The sequence below is a fragment of the Homo sapiens genome, chromosome 1, assembly GCF_000001405.40.
Source record: "Homo sapiens chromosome 1, GRCh38.p14 Primary Assembly".
Taxonomy (NCBI): Eukaryota; Metazoa; Chordata; class Mammalia; order Primates; family Hominidae; genus Homo; species Homo sapiens.
The window spans coordinates 226655343-226675127 of NC_000001.11; the positions used below are offsets into that span (position 1 = coordinate 226655343).

General features: G+C 49.0%; 1 protein-coding gene and 2 long non-coding RNA genes across 3 annotated transcripts in view, besides 5 other annotated features; 1 reads left to right on the top strand and 2 right to left on the bottom strand.

The window, feature by feature from the left end:
* Positions 1-19785, bottom strand: part of ITPKB (inositol-trisphosphate 3-kinase B) — a 107593-nt gene that overhangs the window by 23653 nt on the left and 64155 nt on the right. The window lies entirely within an intron of this gene.
* Positions 738-19726, bottom strand: ITPKB-IT1 (ITPKB intronic transcript 1). Its single transcript, NR_103784.1, has 2 exons — positions 19575-19726; positions 738-1932 (listed from the first exon to the last, which is right to left on the bottom strand). It is a non-coding gene; the product is annotated as an ITPKB intronic transcript 1 (long non-coding RNA).
* Positions 3602-4432: an enhancer, noted in NCBI's record as "H3K4me1 hESC enhancer chr1:226846645-226847475 (GRCh37/hg19 assembly coordinates)". NCBI's record gives its function as "activates a minimal SCP1, AML or CMV promoter by ChIP-STARR-seq in naive H9 embryonic stem cells {active_cell/tissue: H9 hESC(naive)}" and the evidence as "EXISTENCE:reporter gene assay evidence [ECO:0000049][PMID:30033119]".
* On the top strand, positions 7420-13431 carry LOC124904529 (uncharacterized). Its single transcript, XR_007066908.1, has 2 exons — positions 7420-7789; positions 9319-13431. It is a non-coding gene; the product is annotated as an uncharacterized LOC124904529 (long non-coding RNA).
* Positions 7436-7961: an enhancer, noted in NCBI's record as "H3K27ac-H3K4me1 hESC enhancer chr1:226850479-226851004 (GRCh37/hg19 assembly coordinates)". NCBI's record gives its function as "activates a minimal SCP1, AML or CMV promoter by ChIP-STARR-seq in naive H9 embryonic stem cells {active_cell/tissue: H9 hESC(naive)}" and the evidence as "EXISTENCE:reporter gene assay evidence [ECO:0000049][PMID:30033119]".
* Positions 7608-7747: an enhancer, noted in NCBI's record as "active region_2660". NCBI's record gives its function as "activates an Ori minimal core promoter by ATAC-STARR-seq in GM12878 lymphoblastoid cells {active_cell/tissue: GM12878}" and the evidence as "EXISTENCE:reporter gene assay evidence [ECO:0000049][PMID:35858748]".
* Positions 8058-8147: an enhancer, noted in NCBI's record as "active region_2661". NCBI's record gives its function as "activates an Ori minimal core promoter by ATAC-STARR-seq in GM12878 lymphoblastoid cells {active_cell/tissue: GM12878}" and the evidence as "EXISTENCE:reporter gene assay evidence [ECO:0000049][PMID:35858748]".
* Positions 10765-11044: an enhancer, noted in NCBI's record as "active region_2662". NCBI's record gives its function as "activates an Ori minimal core promoter by ATAC-STARR-seq in GM12878 lymphoblastoid cells {active_cell/tissue: GM12878}" and the evidence as "EXISTENCE:reporter gene assay evidence [ECO:0000049][PMID:35858748]".

The window sequence follows — 19785 nt, forward strand, 5'->3', positions numbered from 1 at the left end:
GCCAGGAAATGGGCCCTGCCTCCTGGGGAGGAAATGGCCCCCGTTAGGAGACAGCAGGTGACCCCAGGCCTGCAGGCCTCTGTGGCCTGCTCACAGCCAATGACCAGAGGCTCCTCAATCCTAGGGCAGGGGAGGGCTCAAGGCCACCGGCACCTGTGGCTCTCTTTTTGGGGCTCAGAGAAGTCCCCTGGAAAGGCCTGGCAGGAGCGGTGAGGATGCAACCAGACCTCAGCCTTCTGCATGTTGTTCAGAGTCTGGCCTTGCTTCCTGTCCCTGCAGTGCTGTCTGAGCCAGTCAGTGGCCACTTGCCCTGCCCAGCCCAGCCTTCTCCGCAGGAGGCCAAGCCACCCAGGGCCAGCACTGTCTGATCCTCAGCTCAGCCCACATGCCCCCTGGGGTCTGCTTCCTGTCTTCTTTCCAGCCAATTCCCGCCCCTCCAAACCAATGTTATATTTCTCAGTGCAATTTGGGGTGGGTAGAAGAAAGGGTTGTGACGCTGGGGGCAGACACTTGTATGTCGTGAGGACTGCAGGTCACTGGCAGCCCTGGTGACCCCCACTCCCATCCACACATGGCACCATCTGCAGCGCACCCGGGCTCATATTCTCTCAGGCCTGTGGAGTTCTGCAGGCAACTTCTTGCTCCACACACCTGTCCCCACGCCACCTTAGGCCCGCAAGGGTGTCAGCTTCTGCTATTAGGGACTTTGCAGAAGAATGACTGAGGATGCTCAGGACTTAGCTAACTCCTGTGTGTATTTTAAAATGCAACCCAGAAACCCTCTTCCCAGGAAGCCTTCCATTGCCCCTCCTGGGTGCTTCCAAAGAGCCCTGGGCACGCTTCCATCCCAGTTCTTCTCTTTAACACAAGAAAGGGACCTTGGTTTACCCTGGTGGGCGCTCAGAGACCCCCAGCAGGTTTCCTGAGTGCCTGGCTGGGCAGGTGCCAAGCCTCACAGCATCCAGGAGGAGGGAGATCAAACTCAGCAGGTGTGGGAGGGGCTGCACTTGCCCATCTGGAGCCCGGTCAGAGGCTGCTGAAGAAATTTCACATTCTGGGCAGGTGCGGGCTCCACTTCATTTCCTTATCAGGGCCCTGACATTCCTCTCCCGGAAGCCACAGCTGTGCTGGGACAACTTCAGAGAAGCAAGGAGGACTTCAGGAAGGCAGCTCCTTCCAGTCCCAGTGTACCCCAAGACAGCTGCCCTTCCTCCAGCCCCCTTCTTGCTGATTTGGCCAGGCCCATAGTGGTTTCACCACCTTGCAAATTAAGGGCTGAAGCAACATACATACTCCTCTCCCCCTCCATCAAGATTTTAAAAGGCAGCCCACGGAGTTGGATGTTGTTCTAGAAGGCAGGATGATGACGCAGAATGCAATTCAAGTGTAGAGGTTGGAACGAACCTTTGTTCTGCAGCCTTCCAGCTGCAGCATGGGCAAACCTCGGCGTACACTGGGCACGGCAGGTATCAATGCACACACCCTGCCCTCCCCATGCAGTCACCGTGAGAGCCTGAGCAGGTGACAGGCACAAACAGCTGCTCTGTAGACTGTCACAGACAGGCAAACCTTCCAGGCTCACTTTGGTTTTTTGCTTCTGTGTCTATTTTCTTAAATTGAAATGATTTTTTCCTCCAAGGCATAGCAGATTGGCAAGCATCCAACTAGGCACTTTCAGAGGGCCTGATCGTGGCCAGTGGTGATCAGATGAGGCTAACTGTGTGATTAATTGCTTACAAAGCTTCCCGTCCCATGCCCATCGCAGCTCCGGGAACTCATGGGGCAGTTCCTTAGGCCCCCAGATGTGTAACTTGGAAAGAGTCAGAGCCCAAGTGAGTCAATATCAGTTTCTGGTTCAAGTCACTGACGTTGCAAAAAGAAGAATGATTTCCCAAAGCATCTTATTTCATGTATGTGGAACTCTGCTAGGCACTGCCAAAGAAAGATATTTTCAAGGTGAATAATAAGATTGCTTGGCAAATTTCATTTTCTAGAGGGGGTTTACATTCTCTTCTTAGCCTCTTTTTCACCTGACTTGTTCCCTCAATTTGCTACTTTTTCCTCCAGCACTTCTCTTTTTATTTAAATAGTTTGATCACTTGGCTTTTATCTTTAGATAATCGTAAAGAAAGAGTCTCCCTTTGTTGTTGTTGTTGGGTAAAAGAGATGAGGGGAAATCTCTAAAATATCAGAAATGGGAAATGATCCCTGGACCCTCTAACACTCCGAAAACGGTATTGCCAGCCGAACTCTGCTGCGTGTGTGCAAAGAGATCACGTTACATGTCTAACATAGTGTTAGATACTAATAAGCTAATAGCTCAGGTAACTCTCACAACACTGATATTGTTGTCTCCATTTTGCAAATGATGAAACATGTTGAGAGGGGTTTAGTAACTTGCAAAAGGTCACACAGCTTCCAGGTTTGTGCCACTTAATTCCAAGGATTTTGTCTCAGCCAACAGGATTACTGGGCTCCCATCATCTCTCTCGGACCTGGGGCTATCTGCTTCCCCCCTATTTATAAAATAGCCTCACATAAACAGCAAGGGCTTTGTCAGAAGAGTGACCTTTCAGATGGGGGAGGCCTGAACAAAGGCCTACTCTCCCCTCCCTCCAAGTCTGTTCCCAGAACGTCCTTACTGACACACGCTCGGGGAAGGCACATCTAACAAAGCGTCGAAAGTGGATGAAGAACGCCCCTGCCAGGGGAGAATTTGTTCTGTGTCAAAGCCTTTGTTTTGCTCTTGCAAAAGTCTGAGTGAGAGTCATTGAGTTTTCCATGTTTGGAAAAAATCCTTTTTTCCTTCCTTCTTCATTTGGTCTTTCTAAAAAAGCAGTTAGGGTTTCCCTAGTGATCATTATTTCCTTCACTGGGGAAAAGCCTGGTGCTTCTCCTAGGCTGCAGAGTGGAGGCGGTGGCCAACTTTGTTCATTGTATTCCCCCTGGCAGGGCCCAGCTGGGTTGGCGGCAGCTGGGTACAAGCCCAGGCAGGTAGGGGCCCCTGGCTCAATAGCTCCCTCCTGTAGCCCTGGTTAGAAACCTGGCTGGGGCCAAAAGCGAAACCTGCCCCTGCCAAAAAGGAGCTGGGAGGGAAGGAGGGGAAGGGCTTTCAAAACCAAGACACCAAGGATCGGAAAAATTAAGCCCAAGGACTTGGCAGGACAGGTAGCTCCAGCTAAAAATAAAAGTCTGGATGTAAGACTAACTGCCTTTCCCCCTTTAACAAACAAGAAAATCCCCCTAAATGCCAAATGCAAAAGCACTTTCAGAAAAGACCCGAGTAAGGCTTTATTTCATCCCCCGTCTCCACCCGCCGTGTGATGTTCCCGCAGGCTGGATGGCACCGAACATCCTCCACAGCGCTGCTCACCAGGCACGAGGTTCTTCTCCCCCGCCCTTTATGGAACCCATGAGCGTAGGGTAGGGATTACTGAGCGCTGTCGGGTTGGTGAAGTCCCTCCTTCAGAAGCAACTGCTGGGCCTGGGGCAGGAGAACGAGGATGATGGGTCCTTACCAGCCCCTGCAGACCGGGACCCCCTGCAGGGGCTACACGAACCAGCTCAGTGAACTAGCTAGCTAAACTAGCTCCAGGTGAGCGCTCTGTCCCCTCCACACCCAATCAGGCTGCGAGGGCTGCCGGGTCCCTGGTTTGCAGTGCGTAGACCTGGTCGGGCTGAAGGCTGGAGCTCCCAACCTGGCTGACTCTTTTTGAGGGACGCCACCATGGTCAATCGACCCCTAGCAGCACATTCTGGCCAAAACCAGGAAAACCCTGAGTGACTGCCCAGCTGTCTCCTGATTAGCTGCCTTCTTCCTGTTGCAACTAGAGGCCTAGTTTCTAGGCCAAGGGCAGCACCCAGACTGGCACCCAGGGGCCCTCCATCATGGCCACTCTTCCTCTTCCACCATAAGCCCTAAACCCTGCCAAAGGAGGTTGCCCAAGGCCCAGACGGCAAGGACAGGGCTCCAGGAGCAGCCCAGGGCCTCACCAAGGCTCCCTGACCACCCATAAGAGGGAGCAGGGTCCCTCCGGGATACAGAGCCACCCCCAGATACGGCCCCACACTCACTCTCTGGCGTGCCCACTCCAATCCGTCAGGGCAAGCCATCCCATACCTGCCCCACCTCCAGGTCTGCTGTGCAGGTGCTCTGCCCAGAAAGCTCTCCCTCCTCCCTTCTGTGTATCCACATCCTACCTCTCCTTCCAGCAGATCCCCTGGAATCTGCAAGCTGGCCCTACCTTGTCCCTGAAGTCTCTCAGGCCACTCTAGCCCCACGCCACTCCTGGAATCCTCCCTGAAGCTGGAGGGAGATGCAGGATGTGGATACGCAGAAGGGAGGAGGGAGAGCTTCCCAGCAGGGCACCTGCACAGCAGACCTGCAGGTGGGGCAGGGAAGGGAAAGGAAGCTGGGGTGCTTCGTGATTCTTGTGTGCCATACCATGTCTCCCAGTGGCAGGAAGGCTCCTGGGGAACTGGGGATCTGTCCTAACCTTCTCTATGTCCCCCAGGCTGCACAGCCGGCAGGAATCCAATACTCCCGGCATCTGGCTGATAAGAGGACCCTGCGGACCCAGCACATGCTAAGGGCCCAGGCCTGGAAGATAAAGCACACCTACACCAAGGCTCACACTGCTTTATGTTCACCTGCTCACACCTGGATTTTTCTAGAGACTTCTCCAAGTAACAAGAGGGGGCATATTTGTGGGAATTTCCTGTTTGGTCTGCTTGGGTTTCTCTCCAGGACCCCACGGCTGGCAGCCTGGCTGGCCCCAGGCCCCAGGGGTCTTTTTCACTCAAGGGTTTGGAGGGCAACCTTTCACTCAGGTTAGTCACTGTTTGCTCACTCTCCCATCCCTCAATCTGTGATGCCCTTGCTGGCAGGCAGGGGACATCTCTTCGTGGGCATCCCCAGTATCCTGCAGGAGCCAGGGACACTGGAGACACCAGCAAAGAATGCTCTTCCTTAGCGACTCTTTCAGGTCTGCACTCCTTCCCTCATCCACACTCTATAGGAGCTGGCATCAAAGGGGCCTGCAATCTTGCTAAACCAGAGTCTTTTTTTGGTTACTCAAGAATCGAGGTGTCCTTCACCCAAAATGGAAATGTTCCTAACCCTCCCTATTGGGCAGGGCCCAGCAAATGCTCCATCTCTGGTGAGAAGGTCATTAACTTGGCTCTTCCCTCCTCCTCTCTCCTGGATTCCATCCTCTTAAGAACTAAAAATAATGAAGGGCTAGAGGAGAGAGGCGAGAGAGGAAGAAGGCACAGGAAATGCTGTGCTGAACAGAGGCCTCGCAGAGCTCACACCAGGGGCCTCGCAGAGCTCACACCAGGGGCCTCTCCAGGCCTCAAAGGCTGCTGGGCCCGGAGGCTAGGAGGGGACCAACAATAGGAGGAAACAGGGAGTGGCCAAAGGGGCTGGGGAAGAGCACGAGGCGGATGGGCAGCCTTTCGAGGCTGACTTCCTAATGGATAAAGCCCAGAGGACAGAAGGGCTCAGCCTTTCCTCTGGGAAAGGGCGCCTGGGCTCTGCCCAGCTGGTTAAGGGCCACCCCTGCAACACGCAGCAGATCCTCTCCCGCCCTGCGCTCATCCACTCCTCCCCAGAGATTTTATTTTTACTTTGGTAAATGCAAAACAACAAGGCCAAGTTACAGAGGGTGGAAATTTACCAAAGGCCTTCACTGATCGGCAGACAATTGGCACTGAAGTTCTGGAACCTCCGAGCACCCGCAGAGTCCATCTTGGGCCGCTCTCTCAGAGGCGCCAGCCAGGGGACTCAGCCCCATCTCCACCCCCAACACACCTTCTTGGGAACAGCTTCCTGGTCTGGGGAGCTAGAGTTGCTTAATCCTTCCTTTATAGCCCACAGAGAGGTAAGGCAGGGCAGGAGCGCAGCCCATAGCATGCGAGCTGTTCTAGTGCCAGTTCAAGAAATAGCTCGTGTGCTTACCAGAGCCAGACACAGGGCTGAGTATTTGCTATGTGTGTGTGATAAGAGTCTCTCAACCCATCACAGAGGTGCTGTCACTGTCCCACTTCACAGATGGGAACACTGAGGCACAGAGTCATGAGACAACTTGCCCAAGGTTCTGTACATGTGTAGTCAGGCAGGCTGGCTGCGGATCCAAGCTCTTCATCACTCTGCTGGGCTGCCTCATTTCCTGTCATGTGGAACAGGTAACATTATAGCCAGATAAACTGAGATTTAGATCCTGCCACTCCTGGCTGGTGGCACTAGGCAAGTTACCAAACCTCTCTGAGCTTCAGTTTCCTCATCTATAAAATGGAAATACCATGTATCCTAAAGTATTGTTTTCAGGGTTAAATTAAATTCTCTGTGTGCAGTGCCTGGTACATACACAAGAGCACTCAACAGAGGCAGATACATTTTGCATACCTCTCACGTATACTGTCTGGTCTGACCCCCTCAAGGTCAAGAGCCTATGGATCGGATGAACTGTATGGGAGACAGCTCTGTATGAGCCCAGCAGATGTTAGCAGTAGGGTCTGACCACCTCCTCTTCTATCCCTAATCCCAGCCTTGAATCCCACCTTTCCACAAGGAAAGGGCAGAAGGTGTAGGCCACAGCCAGGAGGAAGTGGATCCCCAATGAAAAGTCCTATTCCTTGACAGAAACAGAGTCTTTCTGGAACTCCAAAATGCCCAGGAGCTACTTTCTAGTCGGGTGTGAGAGGGAGTGCACGGACGATGAGGCAGCCTGGCAGGAGAGCCACTAGAGGCTCTCGTGTTTCCTGAAAATCCCCCCACCCAAACCTCCCCCAGGGACCTGGGATCTGAAATAAGTAACTCTGCCTGTTCCCCGGGAGACTGAGCTGAGCAACAGGGACACAGGCAGCTCTGCCAGGTGGCCACAAGTGGAAACAGACTTCTTCATCCCATGCTGGAGGATGACATTTACAAAGCCAGGAATCTAAAACGAAGTTTTCTGCAGAAAGTTCAAGAATCTAAAATGCCATCTTCTCTCCCCAAAGCTCTCCCAGGCACAGCCCTGCTAAAGGAAACACACTTACTTCTGTGTGAACAGCTCTTTAGTAACCCCTGGTTCTTTTTCAGAGATTCCTGAGATTGAAAAAACTTCAGGTTATACATTTTAAAACCTTAGGATACTACTGGATATAGTAGAAGGGACAAGATTTCCTCAACCTCCAATTGCTAAAAGTTTACCTCTCTAGGCCAAGAACATTAATGGACAAAACACTGCCTTTTAATTAGTTTCTGGGAATGCAAAAAAGACCTTGTAAGAGATTTGGTTAAGGGGGTCATCCTGGTCTAAATCCAAAGCCAGAGTTTTGGGAACTCCCACTTAAGGAATTTCCAACAAGGAAACTTTTGAGGGAGGACTTGAATACCACATGACGGCTTATAAGCAGTTATCAAGCTACACTGGTGCAATTCATATTTCTGACAGATTATGCTGATGTGCCTGTGGCTAAATGGCACTCAGCAAGTGAGAATGCAGACTCGCAGAGAGAACCAGAAACCCCAAGCTGCTTTCCAAAGAAGCATCTGCAGCCCTGCCCCAGCAGTGGCCAATGCGCAGCTCTGAATTCTGCTATGAGTCACCCAGCTTCCCTCTCCTGACCAGAGCTGTTCAGGGTAGAGACCCTGTGTCTCGGTTCAGCAGTCATGCATCTGTTCACGTGCAGACCTCTGGAAGCACAGGAAACGGGTTGCCAAAAAGGGACACCAGAGAACCCCCAAGTATGAGCAAGACTCATCAGCTCTCAGGGCTCAGCTGTCCCCCGGGTCATCTTGACGGTATGTGTGACGATATGTGTGATTTTCATAAACAGATTGACTCATCGCCCTTCCCCGTGCATCTCTGTCAACCAGGCCCTGCTAGTGGCAGTGGGTGCTTACTTAGCACTTTCCCCACGTGACAGGAGCCTCCCAGGGCCCCAGAAAGGCAGGCACCAGTCTCGCCTCCTATTACCAGAGCAGCAAACAGAGGCAAAGGTGCGCTCCTAGGTTTGTGTCCCAATCGGGGCAGACCTTGGGGTCTTGCCCAAACTCCTACCCTGGAAGCCTGCACGCCCTACTGCAGCCAGGTTCTCCCGCCCACCGGGAGCAGGGACACCCTGAAACTGTTTCCTTCACTTCTTGCTTTAGGCTACAATGATTCAACATTTCTTTCTTTTCTTTTTTTTTTATGAGACAGGGTCTTGTTCTGTCACCCAGGCTGGAGTGGAGTCAGTGGCGCAATCACGGCTCACCTACAGCCTTAACTTTCTGGGCTCAAGCAACCCAGCAATCCTCCTGCCTCAGCCTCCCTAGTAGCTGGGACTATATGCATATACCACCATGCCTGAATAATTTTTGTATTTTTTGGTAGAGATGGGGTTTTGCCGTGTTGCCCAGGCTGGTCTTGAAGTCCTGGACTTCAGGTGACCAAAGAAGTGATCCACCCCCCACGGCCTCTCAAAGTGCTGGGATTACAGGCGTGAGCCACCACGTCCAGGTTAACATGTCTTTTATATTGAGGTATTTTGCAGCAGCTTTTGGGATCATTACAGACAGCATGGGTTTTCACAAAGTGAGGTGAGGATCTCCTATGAGACAGGCAAAGAAGGGCTGCACCCCAGGTCCTTCCTGTCTTCTCCCTCAGATTTACAGAGAAGCAAAACCAAGAAACAGAGCATCGACATCCGTAGAGGCTGGTCCAGTTTTCTATCTAAGAGATCTTAAAGCTTGGCCCCCACAAAAGTCACTCTCTTGCCTGCACAGCTTACAGAAGGCTCCTGGTTCTCTTAGACTTGTTTCATCTCCTTCCTACTGAGTTAGAGGAAATGAAACATTATTGAGGGAATGCAAGCAGGTTATCTGAAAAATGTATTCTGGAATGATAGAGGCTGAAGAACGGGCTTAAATGACTTCTGGGAGTCCTTCCAGTCAGTGAGCCTGAACACAGGCATGAGAGAGGCACTTGGAGGAATGGTCTGCTTTGTGCAGTCAGGATTTAGGTCTCACTAAGCTTGGGGCCTCTAGGCTCAGGAGGCAGGAGCTGAACGAGAGCCCCTGACCATCTCCAAAGAGAGCAAACCTCCTTTGCAATGTCCATCTGCTGTGTGCCGGGCAGTACACGTATCGTGGTGGGACGAGGGGAGAGCCTTGGGGACTCTGTCCCAGGGAGAAGGACTCCAGACTCTCACAATGACCACGGCCTCTTGCAGGCTCAGCCCCTCCAAGGTCTCTGGGGAGAGCTCACATTTAGGAACTGTTAACATCATTTCTAGGGAACAGAACCAGCTGGCTGACTTATTCCCCTTAACTTTCAATGCTATTATTAGGGCACATCTGTCTCGGAGTGAAGTCACCAAGGAAAAACCCAGCTGAAGAAAATATTTTCAGGCAGTCGTCATTTGAATCTTCGGAAAAGGAAGCGAGCCGATAAACTGCCAAAGAGCCCCGGGATTCAAGGTGGCCAAAGAGGCGCATGGAAAGTATTTGCCTTGGGAATGTGGGCAGCTGAGCTATTTACACAGTGTGTGGCCAGCACGACGCAAATGGACCAGAAGCTCCTAGAACTGTTTCCTCTTCCCTTTCCTTTCCCCCTTTCCCTTAACAGGATAGCCAGCCAGCAGAGGCTCCCTGTAAACCTGAGTCAGGAGGAAAGGCCGTGGGTGAGTGACTAGCAGCCAGGTGATATAGGGCAGAGGCCAGCAGACTCACCTTGTTTGGCTACATTTTTTTTCTAAATTAGTTGCTAACATTTAAAAATCAGATTCCACACAAAAATCCGAATTCCCAACTTCTCTTTGAAATCCTGGGCCTGTAATCCCGGACAGCGGCCCCTGCCTGGGGCTGAGCAGCAGCCACTTAAGATGGGACCTTCTCTTCCCCTGTCACTGGGTCCCGCTGACACAGGTCACCTGCCCGGCCCCTGGTGGCATTTGAGTTTGAGCCGCTGGATTTAGAGACAAAGGGGAAAGTGCTGAGGAAAGCCAAAGACCTCCACTGTAGTCTACTCACTGGCCATGTCAACGCGGGCAAGTCACCTACTTTGCTGAGCTGCTGTTTCTCCCTCTGCAAACAGAAATGAAAATGCACAGCAAGGCCTCATCCCCAAAACTGTAGGGAGGACTAGGTAGGAAAACACGGGACATGCTTGAAAACCTGAACACACACCATGCAAGTAAGATGTGGCCCTTCGGGTCTGAAAGATGAAATAGAACACCAAGACAAAACGGGCCTCTCTGATGAGATGAGTAGCGGAGGAAACGACAGATCACACAAAAGCTACCTCGGTGGTCACCGGCGGGGGCTGAGATGGAAGCCAGGATTTCTAAACCACCCAGCCCCACCAACCTGGCCCTGCCTGCGGTACCACCTCCCCACCCAGAGAAGTGGAACATCACTGTGGTCGTGGCTGAGCAGTACCTGACTCTGACCAACCTCTGCCTCTAATTAGTTACAACACAATTTAGAACCCGGGATGGTTGGCGTTTGGGACTTGCAGCCACGGCCCAGCCCAGGTGAGGCGAGGAGACACTCACGGAAGCACCTGTGGTGGGGCCAGGAGGAAGCCTAGCATCCTGGCAATGAAACTCAACACTCAAAATGCTAGGAGTAAATCACAGGGCACTGTGGCCTCTGGGGATTTCACAGTGTAGCGGCCAACTGCATTTTGAGGGGTGACCCAAAAGCTCCTGGCCATCTGCGGTCTTCCCCACCAGCCTGCCTAAAAATGAAAGAAATGACAGACATGACCGCAGAGGGCTACCAATGGGCTTCTCAGAAGATAAAGAGAGGTTTAAATGATAAAGGCATCAGTCCTATATCTGCCCCAAAGCCCTCCTTAAGGCCACATGTGGAGAGCGAGCAGCTGTGATACCAGAAGGGAGCACATGGCACGGTGGGATCTGGTGCCTGTCGTGGCAGCAATGACTCAGGCCACCCAATCAGGGCAAGACTCAGCAAGGTCTGCCAGCTCCCATCAAGCCAGAGGCGCTCAGAGGGAGAAGCTGTAAGTGCTTGCTGCTCTCAGGAGCAAGAGGTCATCTTGCTTCTTACCAGCTCCTTACCAAGGCATCATATGTGACGGACATGGCTCCCTGGTGTCCAGGGGCTCCAGGGGCTCTGGGAAGATAGAGCATGTGCAGCGTCATGCCCCAGCACACTGACCCCACAGATCTAATGGGACCATGCTGAACATATGAGGATCACAAATTCCATGGGAGACCCTAAGATCTACCCTCAGGGACAGCTAAGGCGATTCTGGAACAGGGCTGCCAAAACAGCCAGTCAATCACTAAAGTTCCTAATTTACCACCCTGACAACTCTCCCTACGGCTAGCACCCCTTGCTCTTCCTATCTCTCCAGGATCACAACAGCCTGTCCTGCCTTGGGTGTGCCTTCCTGCAACCCACTCTCCACTCATCAGCCTTGCAGATCTTTCTAAAACATCAATCTGATCATGCCAATTTCATCATGTCCCTCCCCTGCTTTAAACCTTCTGTGGCTTCCCTAAAGCCTGCAGGACAAAGACCACAGACCACACATGGACTCTCAAGGGCTCTCGCCTCTCCCCACCAATGCGTCCCTTCACTCCCTGGGCTGTTGCAAAACTGATCTGGTTGTGTTTGCCAACACACACCACACTGCTTCATGCTCCTGAACCTTTTGTGCTGGCCCCTCTGGCTGGAAGACCCTTCCCCTAACCTACCGAGAGAACTCTTCTTCATTCTTTACCATGCGCAATTATCACCTCCTCTTTGCACTTTTTGCCCAATGCACTCAAAAAGGCTAATCGCTTCTCCCCTATACCTCACACACGCATCTGCTTCTCTGCTGAGAGGACATTCACGTGATCTGGTGATGACATGAGTGTTACCCCCACTAGAGTGAGCATTCCTTGAGGACTGGAAATGGCCAGTTCATTGCTGAACCCCTAGGCCCTACCTGGCACACTGCTTTCCCAGAGTTGGGAATCGATAAATATAGGCTAACATAAACATGTGGGAACCCCGCCAAGACCCAAGAGTCTGGTTGAGAAAGCGGAAGAGTGCTCAGAATGCCTAGCCCTTACTGTGGGGTCTGGCTTAAGGGCGGGGTTTCTGAAGCAGAAAGGTAAGTTAAGTAAGGGTTGCCTCACACCCAGAGGCCAAGAACCAGAGGCAGCAGCATCCAGACTCAGTGAGGTCCCACAACCAGGGCCAGCCCATCAGGGAGAGAGGCAAACAAGAGGAGCTCTGGAACCAGGACCCAGGCAGGTAACCTGGGCTGGCTCCTGGACTCCTTTGTCCAATCAGACCACCCACATTTTCTGACATCAGTGCTGTCCCTGGATGCACTGGGCACAGCTGTGAGTGCTTTCTCCTGCAGATCTGGGATAGGGCTACAGGAATTCAGAAGAGGAAGCTATTACTTTGGGAGAAAAAGGGAAAAAATTAAAAATTAAGGAAGCTTCATGGAAAAGGTGACATTTAAGCTAAGTCTTAAAAAGATGAGGAAAATGTGTGTGTGTGTGTGTGTGTGTGTGTGCGCGCGCGCGTGCGAAGTGGAGGTTGGTATTTCAGGATTGAGAAAAGCATAAGCAAAAGCCTAGAAGCAAAAAAGCACCAACAGCACAGCCAACAGCACAGCCAACAGCACAGCCAACAGCTTGGCTCAGCTCAGCACTAAGGGCCTGGCACGGAGCAGTTTGCCCCAGAGGGAGGCAAAAAGAGGGAAAATTGTCTGTAAGGAATTTAAAACAATACTGAAACTGATGGGCTTTTTACCATGACCATGAGCTGGCGATTCTGATTTAAACATAATCCAACACCTCCCCCAACAACCTTTTGTCTAATTCTGAACAATTGCTGCATTATTCTTGACTTTTAATAATATATGTAAGCTTCAAATTCACACAGACTAATTACCTTTTCATAAACATTACATTCTCTATGGAAGTTAATTCAAATAACTCATATTAATAGTTGCAAAGCCAGCCCCTGACACCCGTGGACTCAGCTACCCATGTTTCAAGAGCAAGTTCACAGGATTCGGTATCAGTGGCACTCACTTTGGGGTGGCTCGTCCCCCGAGTCCTGTGGTACGATGTGTTCCTAAGCTTGAAGACCAGACCAAAAATAAAGGCTGGAAGCACAGTCATTGTAAAGACAAAGAAATAGAACCTGGGCTATTCCATCCTCTCATTCTACCAGACCACTTGGGAGTTTCTATTTATGTTTCTGACTTTTCAACAATGAGATGTTAATCAATCCTGAAGAACTGAAGAACAGGACTTTGTTGCAATGTCTGGAATTTACTGTGAAATGGGATTGTTGTGAATTTCTGCCAAATTTTATGTTTAAGATTTATCCTATTTGTATATCTGCTGTTTCAACCAAAAGAAATTTTTCAAAATTAACAGGAATAAAAAGTGCTCTGCGACCAGCTTTGAGGGAAGATAGACCAACAAATGCGGCTTTGTCTATTGATCATGATGAATAGGGAAAGATCAGTATTTACGAAGTCTGATCAATTTACAGAAGACTCAAAACCAGAAACTATAGTTTTTATTCATTACTGCTACAGACCACTATGAAAGTGTAACCTTTCCCCTTTTTCAAAATAAGCATTAGCGTCATTAAATTCATTACTCCCTGCCCCCCTTTTTTTATTGCTGGCATCATATACACAAAATTCAATAATAGAAATGTTTAACTGTCTGAAATTATTTTCTGGCCATTATCATCATCATTATTATTTATTTCTTAATTATTGAAATAATTTTGTTACTATAGAAGAGGGGAGTATTTTAAAAAATCTACTCCTGAGCTGGGCATGGTGGCTCACGCCTGTAATCCCAACACTTTGGGAGGCCGAGGCGGGTGGATCACCTGAGGTCAGGAGTTCGAGACCAGCCTGGCCAACATGGTGAAACTCCGTCTCTAGTAAAAATACAAAAATTAGCCGGGCGTGGTGGCGGGCGCCTGGGCTGAGGCTGGAGAATCGCTTGAACCCAGGAGGCGGAGGTTGCAGTGAGCGGAGATCGCGCCATTGAATTCTAGCCTGGGCAACAAGAGCGAAACTCTGTCTCAAAAAAAAAAAAAAATGTACTCCTGGTGTAAAATATGCTAGATGCACCACTGATTCAGCTTCCCAACAAGAAGGTCCTAAGAGAACAGAAGGTGAGTCTTCTGGAATAACAAAGCCAACATCACCACAGGCCTCAACTGCCAGGCTAATGAACTTGGACTACTGTCTCTAGGTAAATAACAGAGAAAATTACCAAGAACTATGACTATCCAAAACGTGAAAACTCAAAGTATCAAAAGCAAAGACACCTGCAAACCAAAGCAGAAGTCAAATAAACTGCAGAAAATATTTTACAAAATAAAGTATGCTTGAAGGGTTAAGTTTTATATACAAAGAACTCAAACAAATGGGTAAAAACAATCTCAGGTGCCAGTAGATAACCTGGCAACATACATATAATTCAACATACATATAATGAAATAATAATATATGTTTGCCTATTAGCAACAAAAAAAATGTTTTTTTGGTTTGTTTTTTTTTTGTTTTTGTTTTTCTGAGATGTTGTCTCGAACTGTCGCCCAGGCTGGAGTGCAGCTGCACAATCCCAGCTCACTGCAACCTCCGCCTCCAGGGGTCAAGCAATTCTCCTGCCTCAACCTCCTGAGTAGCCTGGACTAGAAGATGCACGCCACCATGCCTGGCTAATTTTTGTATTTTTAGTAGAGATGGGGTTTCACTACTTGCCTCAGCTGGTCTCGAACCCCTGACCTCAAGTGATCCGCCTGCCTCGCCCTCCCAAAATGCTGGGATTACAGGCGTGAGCCACCAAGCTCCGCCGCAAAAAAAAAAAAAAAAAAAAAAAAAAAAATTTCAATAGTGAATCCTAGTGTTGGTGAGGAGGAGAGTAAGGTGTGATACATGCCAACCCACTGCTGGGAGGCATCCCCAAGACACATGACCTTTTGGGAAAGCAGCCCAGGAATATTCTGCAAGGGCCATAAAAATGTTTCAACCTTTCAGTTATTTATTTTACCTCTGGAAATCTACTTAAGGAAATACTCCAAAAAACGGAAAAAGTTACATGCACCAAGATGTTAATTATGCCATTGTTTCTAATAACAATAGTAGTGAAAATAGCCCAACTTCCAACAACAGAGGATGATTAAACAAATTAGAGGCACATCCTTGGGATGGATCGTTCAGTCCTTAACTATCAGGGTTAAGAAAGAAACGTGGAAAATGTTGCTATAAGATTAAGGGGCAGGGAGCAGAATTAGCTACGGAAAATATACAGACTTAGGCTAAGAAGAAATATACCAATTTATAAGAGTAGTTGTACTAATACGCATTTCTGCACATTAACTTTATACTGGCTTTGATCAACGATTTAACCCTTTGCTCTCATTTCTCAGTTATTATATTCTATTGCACTACATGCATATTTGTAAGTATCCACAAATCTTTTGAATAAGGTAGAATACAAATTAACCAATTAATTAATAATGCATAGAATCAAGCTGTTTCATCATTATGATCGTAGGGTTATGATGATACCTATTCTTTTTATTTTCGAAATTTCTGTAGCCTGGTTAGTTTGCTTTTACAATGTAAAAAATATACAGAACACCAAATAAACAAGTAACATAAAGAAACTGCTACCATATCTTACACCTTCAGTGCTCCTTCCTATATTTGATCTGAGAACACAGCACTCTCCAAAATGTCCCTTCAGCTAAGGGAGAAATAGGGCTTTCTTCCTGTAGGTTCTGTGAGCTCAGGACTGAAAACTGTTCCCTGAATGGGTTGACTGCTCCGTGAAGACCCCAAGGATCTCTAGAAGCCCAGGAACATTAGTGGAGGACCATTCGGATGACAGACAGCAGCTAGACTCCTAGGGTGGAGGCGCCTTCCCAATATTCAAACAACATGGGTAAGAACAGGATCAGAAAAGAGACTGATGTGGGAAACCCTTCCACAAAGAACAGATCAAAGGAGTGAGCCCCTGAGGGCAGGGACCGTGGAATCCATCTTTGTACTCCTTGCTACAAATGTGATGCCAAGTAAAAGAACCCAATAAATGCTGTTGCTAATGGATTCACGCATGCATGCACACATGCATTCACTGTTGGACAAATATTTACAGATGTGCCACTGTTCTAGCCGCAGGTGATTTAGCAGTGAACACAACGAAGTCCCTATCCTTAAAGCAGCTTACATTCTAAGTGGGGACAGGCAGATGATAAACAAATAAAGACATATTGCATCAGGCAGCTATGAGCATCCTGAAGATAAATAAAGCCAGGTAGGGGAAAAGGGAGAACCCCAGGGAGGCGGGGAGAGGGGTGTGCTGGCTTAGTTGGCCATGGTCTTTCTGCAGGAAGTGAGGGGCTGAGCCATACACAGGCAGAGGGTATGGCACTGCAGACAGAGGGAGCGGTCAAGTGCACAGGCTTTGAGACAGGTGTGTGGGCAGCTTCAAAGGCCAGCAGGAACAGCAAAGTGGCTGGAACAGAGTAAACAAAGAGGAGAATATATCACATATGAGGTCAGTTCTTGCAGAGTTTTTTAGGCTGTTCTTAGGACTTCGGATTTTATGTCAGTGAGATAGGAAGCTGCTGGAGGGTTTTGAGTGAGGAGTGTCATAGTCTGGCTTATGTTCTAAAAGGCTCACGCTGCTTCTGTGTGTACACCTGGGGAACAGAAAGCAGGCGAGAAAGGGTGAAAACAAGAAAGATCCATTTTGAAGCTGCTGTAATTGTCCAAGTGAGAGAGGAAGATGGATTTTTTTAAAACTCTCCATTTTAGACTGAGAAATAAAAATTTTTTATCTGAGAATCCAAGCCCCCTTTAATTATCAAACCCAGAGAGGCACCGAAATGTGACAGCGTGTGACAGCGATCACGTCTCACTCCCCGCCTGAGCTAAATAATCACCTCTTGAAGCCACTTGCTATGTGGGCTCAAGACTAACTGATGCTAAGTAGCCATAAAATGACATATGCTTGACACCATCACTCGTACTCCATAGTTCAACAGTGTAGAGCAATCACTATCCAATGTTATCTCTGTAAACCAGGGAGGATTCCTGTCAAACAACTTTGTATCAGCCCACTTCCTTGTTCCTTTTGCCTTTGAAAACCTGCTTGTAACAAAGGCCAAACAGAGCACTCCCCAAGGCAACTTGGAAGTGTGTCCTGGGCAGCTGTCCTCCACCTTGGCTCAGATATTAGGTCGACAAGACCACGGCTGTCTTTCGGTGTGAGGCATATGGCTTCTTCTCACTCCCACTCTAACCTGGAGCTGCAATCCCTGCTGAAAGAATTGCCCTCTAAAGGCCTAAGGATCTCAGCAACAGGGAAGTGGGAGGAATCTTCATGCCAGAGATAAAGAGCTGGTCCATGGGCATGTGTGGGAAGCACTGGGGTAGGGCGAAGAAATCTATCTCCTGGGAGGTGTTATCACTACATAAATCCCAGATTTGATCAGGCAATGTAGCCATCTCACTATTTCAGGCTGCAGCTGCTAAGACAGGTGTGAAGTGGGCAGACAAACAGGAAGAAGGTCCCAGGTGGAGAACCTGCATTTGGCTTCTGTACCCCAATTCCAGTAATTAACAAAGCAAAAACCTGCCACACTGTGAATGATGGCCCTTCCCAACCAGAATCCTGTTTCTGACAAGTGGTGAAGACACTCTAAAATGCACCGAGTGTATGACAAGGACAATCTTCTGGATATTCCCATTTAAACAGGGATGGGCCGGATGCAGTAGCTCATGCCTGTAATCCCAACACTTTGGGAGGCTGAGGCAGGAGGACTGCTTGAGGCCAGGAGTTCAAGACCAGCCTGGGCAACATGGTGAGACCCCTTGTCTCTATAAAAAACACAAAAATTAGCCAGGTGTGGTGGCGCGCACCTGTGGTCCCAGCTACTCGGGAGGCTGAGGCAGGAGGATTGCTTGAACACAGGGGTAGAGGCTGCCATGTTCGTGCCACTGCACTCCAGCCTGGGTGACAGAGCATGACCCTGTCTCAAAAAACAATAAATAAAATAAAACAGGGATGAACTGGAGAAACTGTGAAGGTATAGGTGCTGTCTTGCTTAGGGGTGGGGATGATTTACGGAAGGCTAACACAAGGGCCTTGGTTAGTCTAAAGATAATCACGGCAACTAGGTGGTGGTACCAGGAACTAGTCCACCAAATCCCAACCTGCAGCCAAAAAGTCTCAACTCTCACCTATAAAGGGATCCTTCTAAATTCTCTAGATGTATGGAAATCTTTGACAGGTCTTCTGAAGCCTAGAGTCATCGTATAAACATAGATAAATAGTGTAGATATTGCATAGCTATAGATTGATATGTACATATACCATATACATTAGATATATGCTATATATTTACACTTCTTGGCCTTTCGGCTTTATTATCTATCTCCACAAAGTAGGACAAGACAAGCTTGTTTCCCATTTAAGTTTTTCTATCTGTACTGTTTTGCAAATCCACCAGAGAGTTGCAGGACACTCCTGCTACAGAAAGATTTCTGCCAGGCAGGCTCAGAGACCTGCTCTGTTACTGTTCTATTTAATAACACAAACACACAAATGGGGGCCTTTCTTCCCCATGACTTTCATGGCATGGCTGGGGGCAGAGCTGGGAGGTTTTCACGGCCCATATATCCTCAAACTGCTCCATTTCCCCCCGATCTCAGTTGCCACCCCACTAACTCCGGGGTGATCAGCTCCATACCACAATCATCTCCTGGTGATAGAGTTCCATGGATTTTAAAAGCTGTAAGAAAAACTGAGACAGATTCAGAAGAGATTCTAGTAACCCCAAACCAGCAATTACAAATATTTTTTAAGTATTTATATATACACATTTTTTTTTGAGACAGAGTCTCACTGTTGCCCAGGCTGGAGGGCAGTGGCACCATCTCGGCTCACTGCAACCTCCAACTCCCAGGTTCAAACCAATCTCCTGCCTCAGCCTCCGAGTAGCTGGGATTACAGGCACCTGCCACCACACTTGGCTGATTTTTGTAGTTTTAGTAGAGATGGGGTTTCACCATCTTGGCCAGGCTAGTTTTGAACTCCTGACCTCGTGATCCACCCACCTCAGCCTCCCATAGTGCTGGAATTACAGGCGTGAGCCACTGTGCCTGGCCTAATTTTTGTATTTTTAGTTAGAGACGGGGTTTCACTATGTTGGCCAGGCTGGTCTCGAACTTCTGACCTCAGGTGATCTGCCCGCCTTGGCCTCCCAAAGTGCTGGGATTAAAGGAGTGAGCCACCACACCCAGCCACAAGTTTTAGATACTTAAAATACTTTTAAGTATCTAAAATTAGCACCTCTCTTTAAACCTTTTACTCACCCTTTCCTGACCCTTTCCTTGTATCCCCCATTCCCTTTCGATTTCTTCACCATCCCTATTTGCCTCCTTTTCCTCACTATCTACCCACCAAGTCCTGCTCTGCTCCCATCCCACTTAAGATTTTCGTGTCTATTCTGTATCACCCTTAATGATCCACTGAGGCTGTGAGCTTCCTGTTTACCCACAAGCGTTCAGCGGATCCAGCCATCCTACCAAGGGTTAAAGATGCTGTAGTCCTACTGTGCTGCCTCCGACCCAGTTCCTTCCAAAACAAAGCAGGATGACAAGGTGACTCCACGAGAACTGCGTTTGACCTCTGTGTGGGTTTTCTGTTTCCAAGGCCACAGCAGGGTACTCTGAAAACTCTAAACCAGAAGGAAAGGAGACCTAGCCTTCAGAACTCTGTGTGTATGTGCTTACAGGC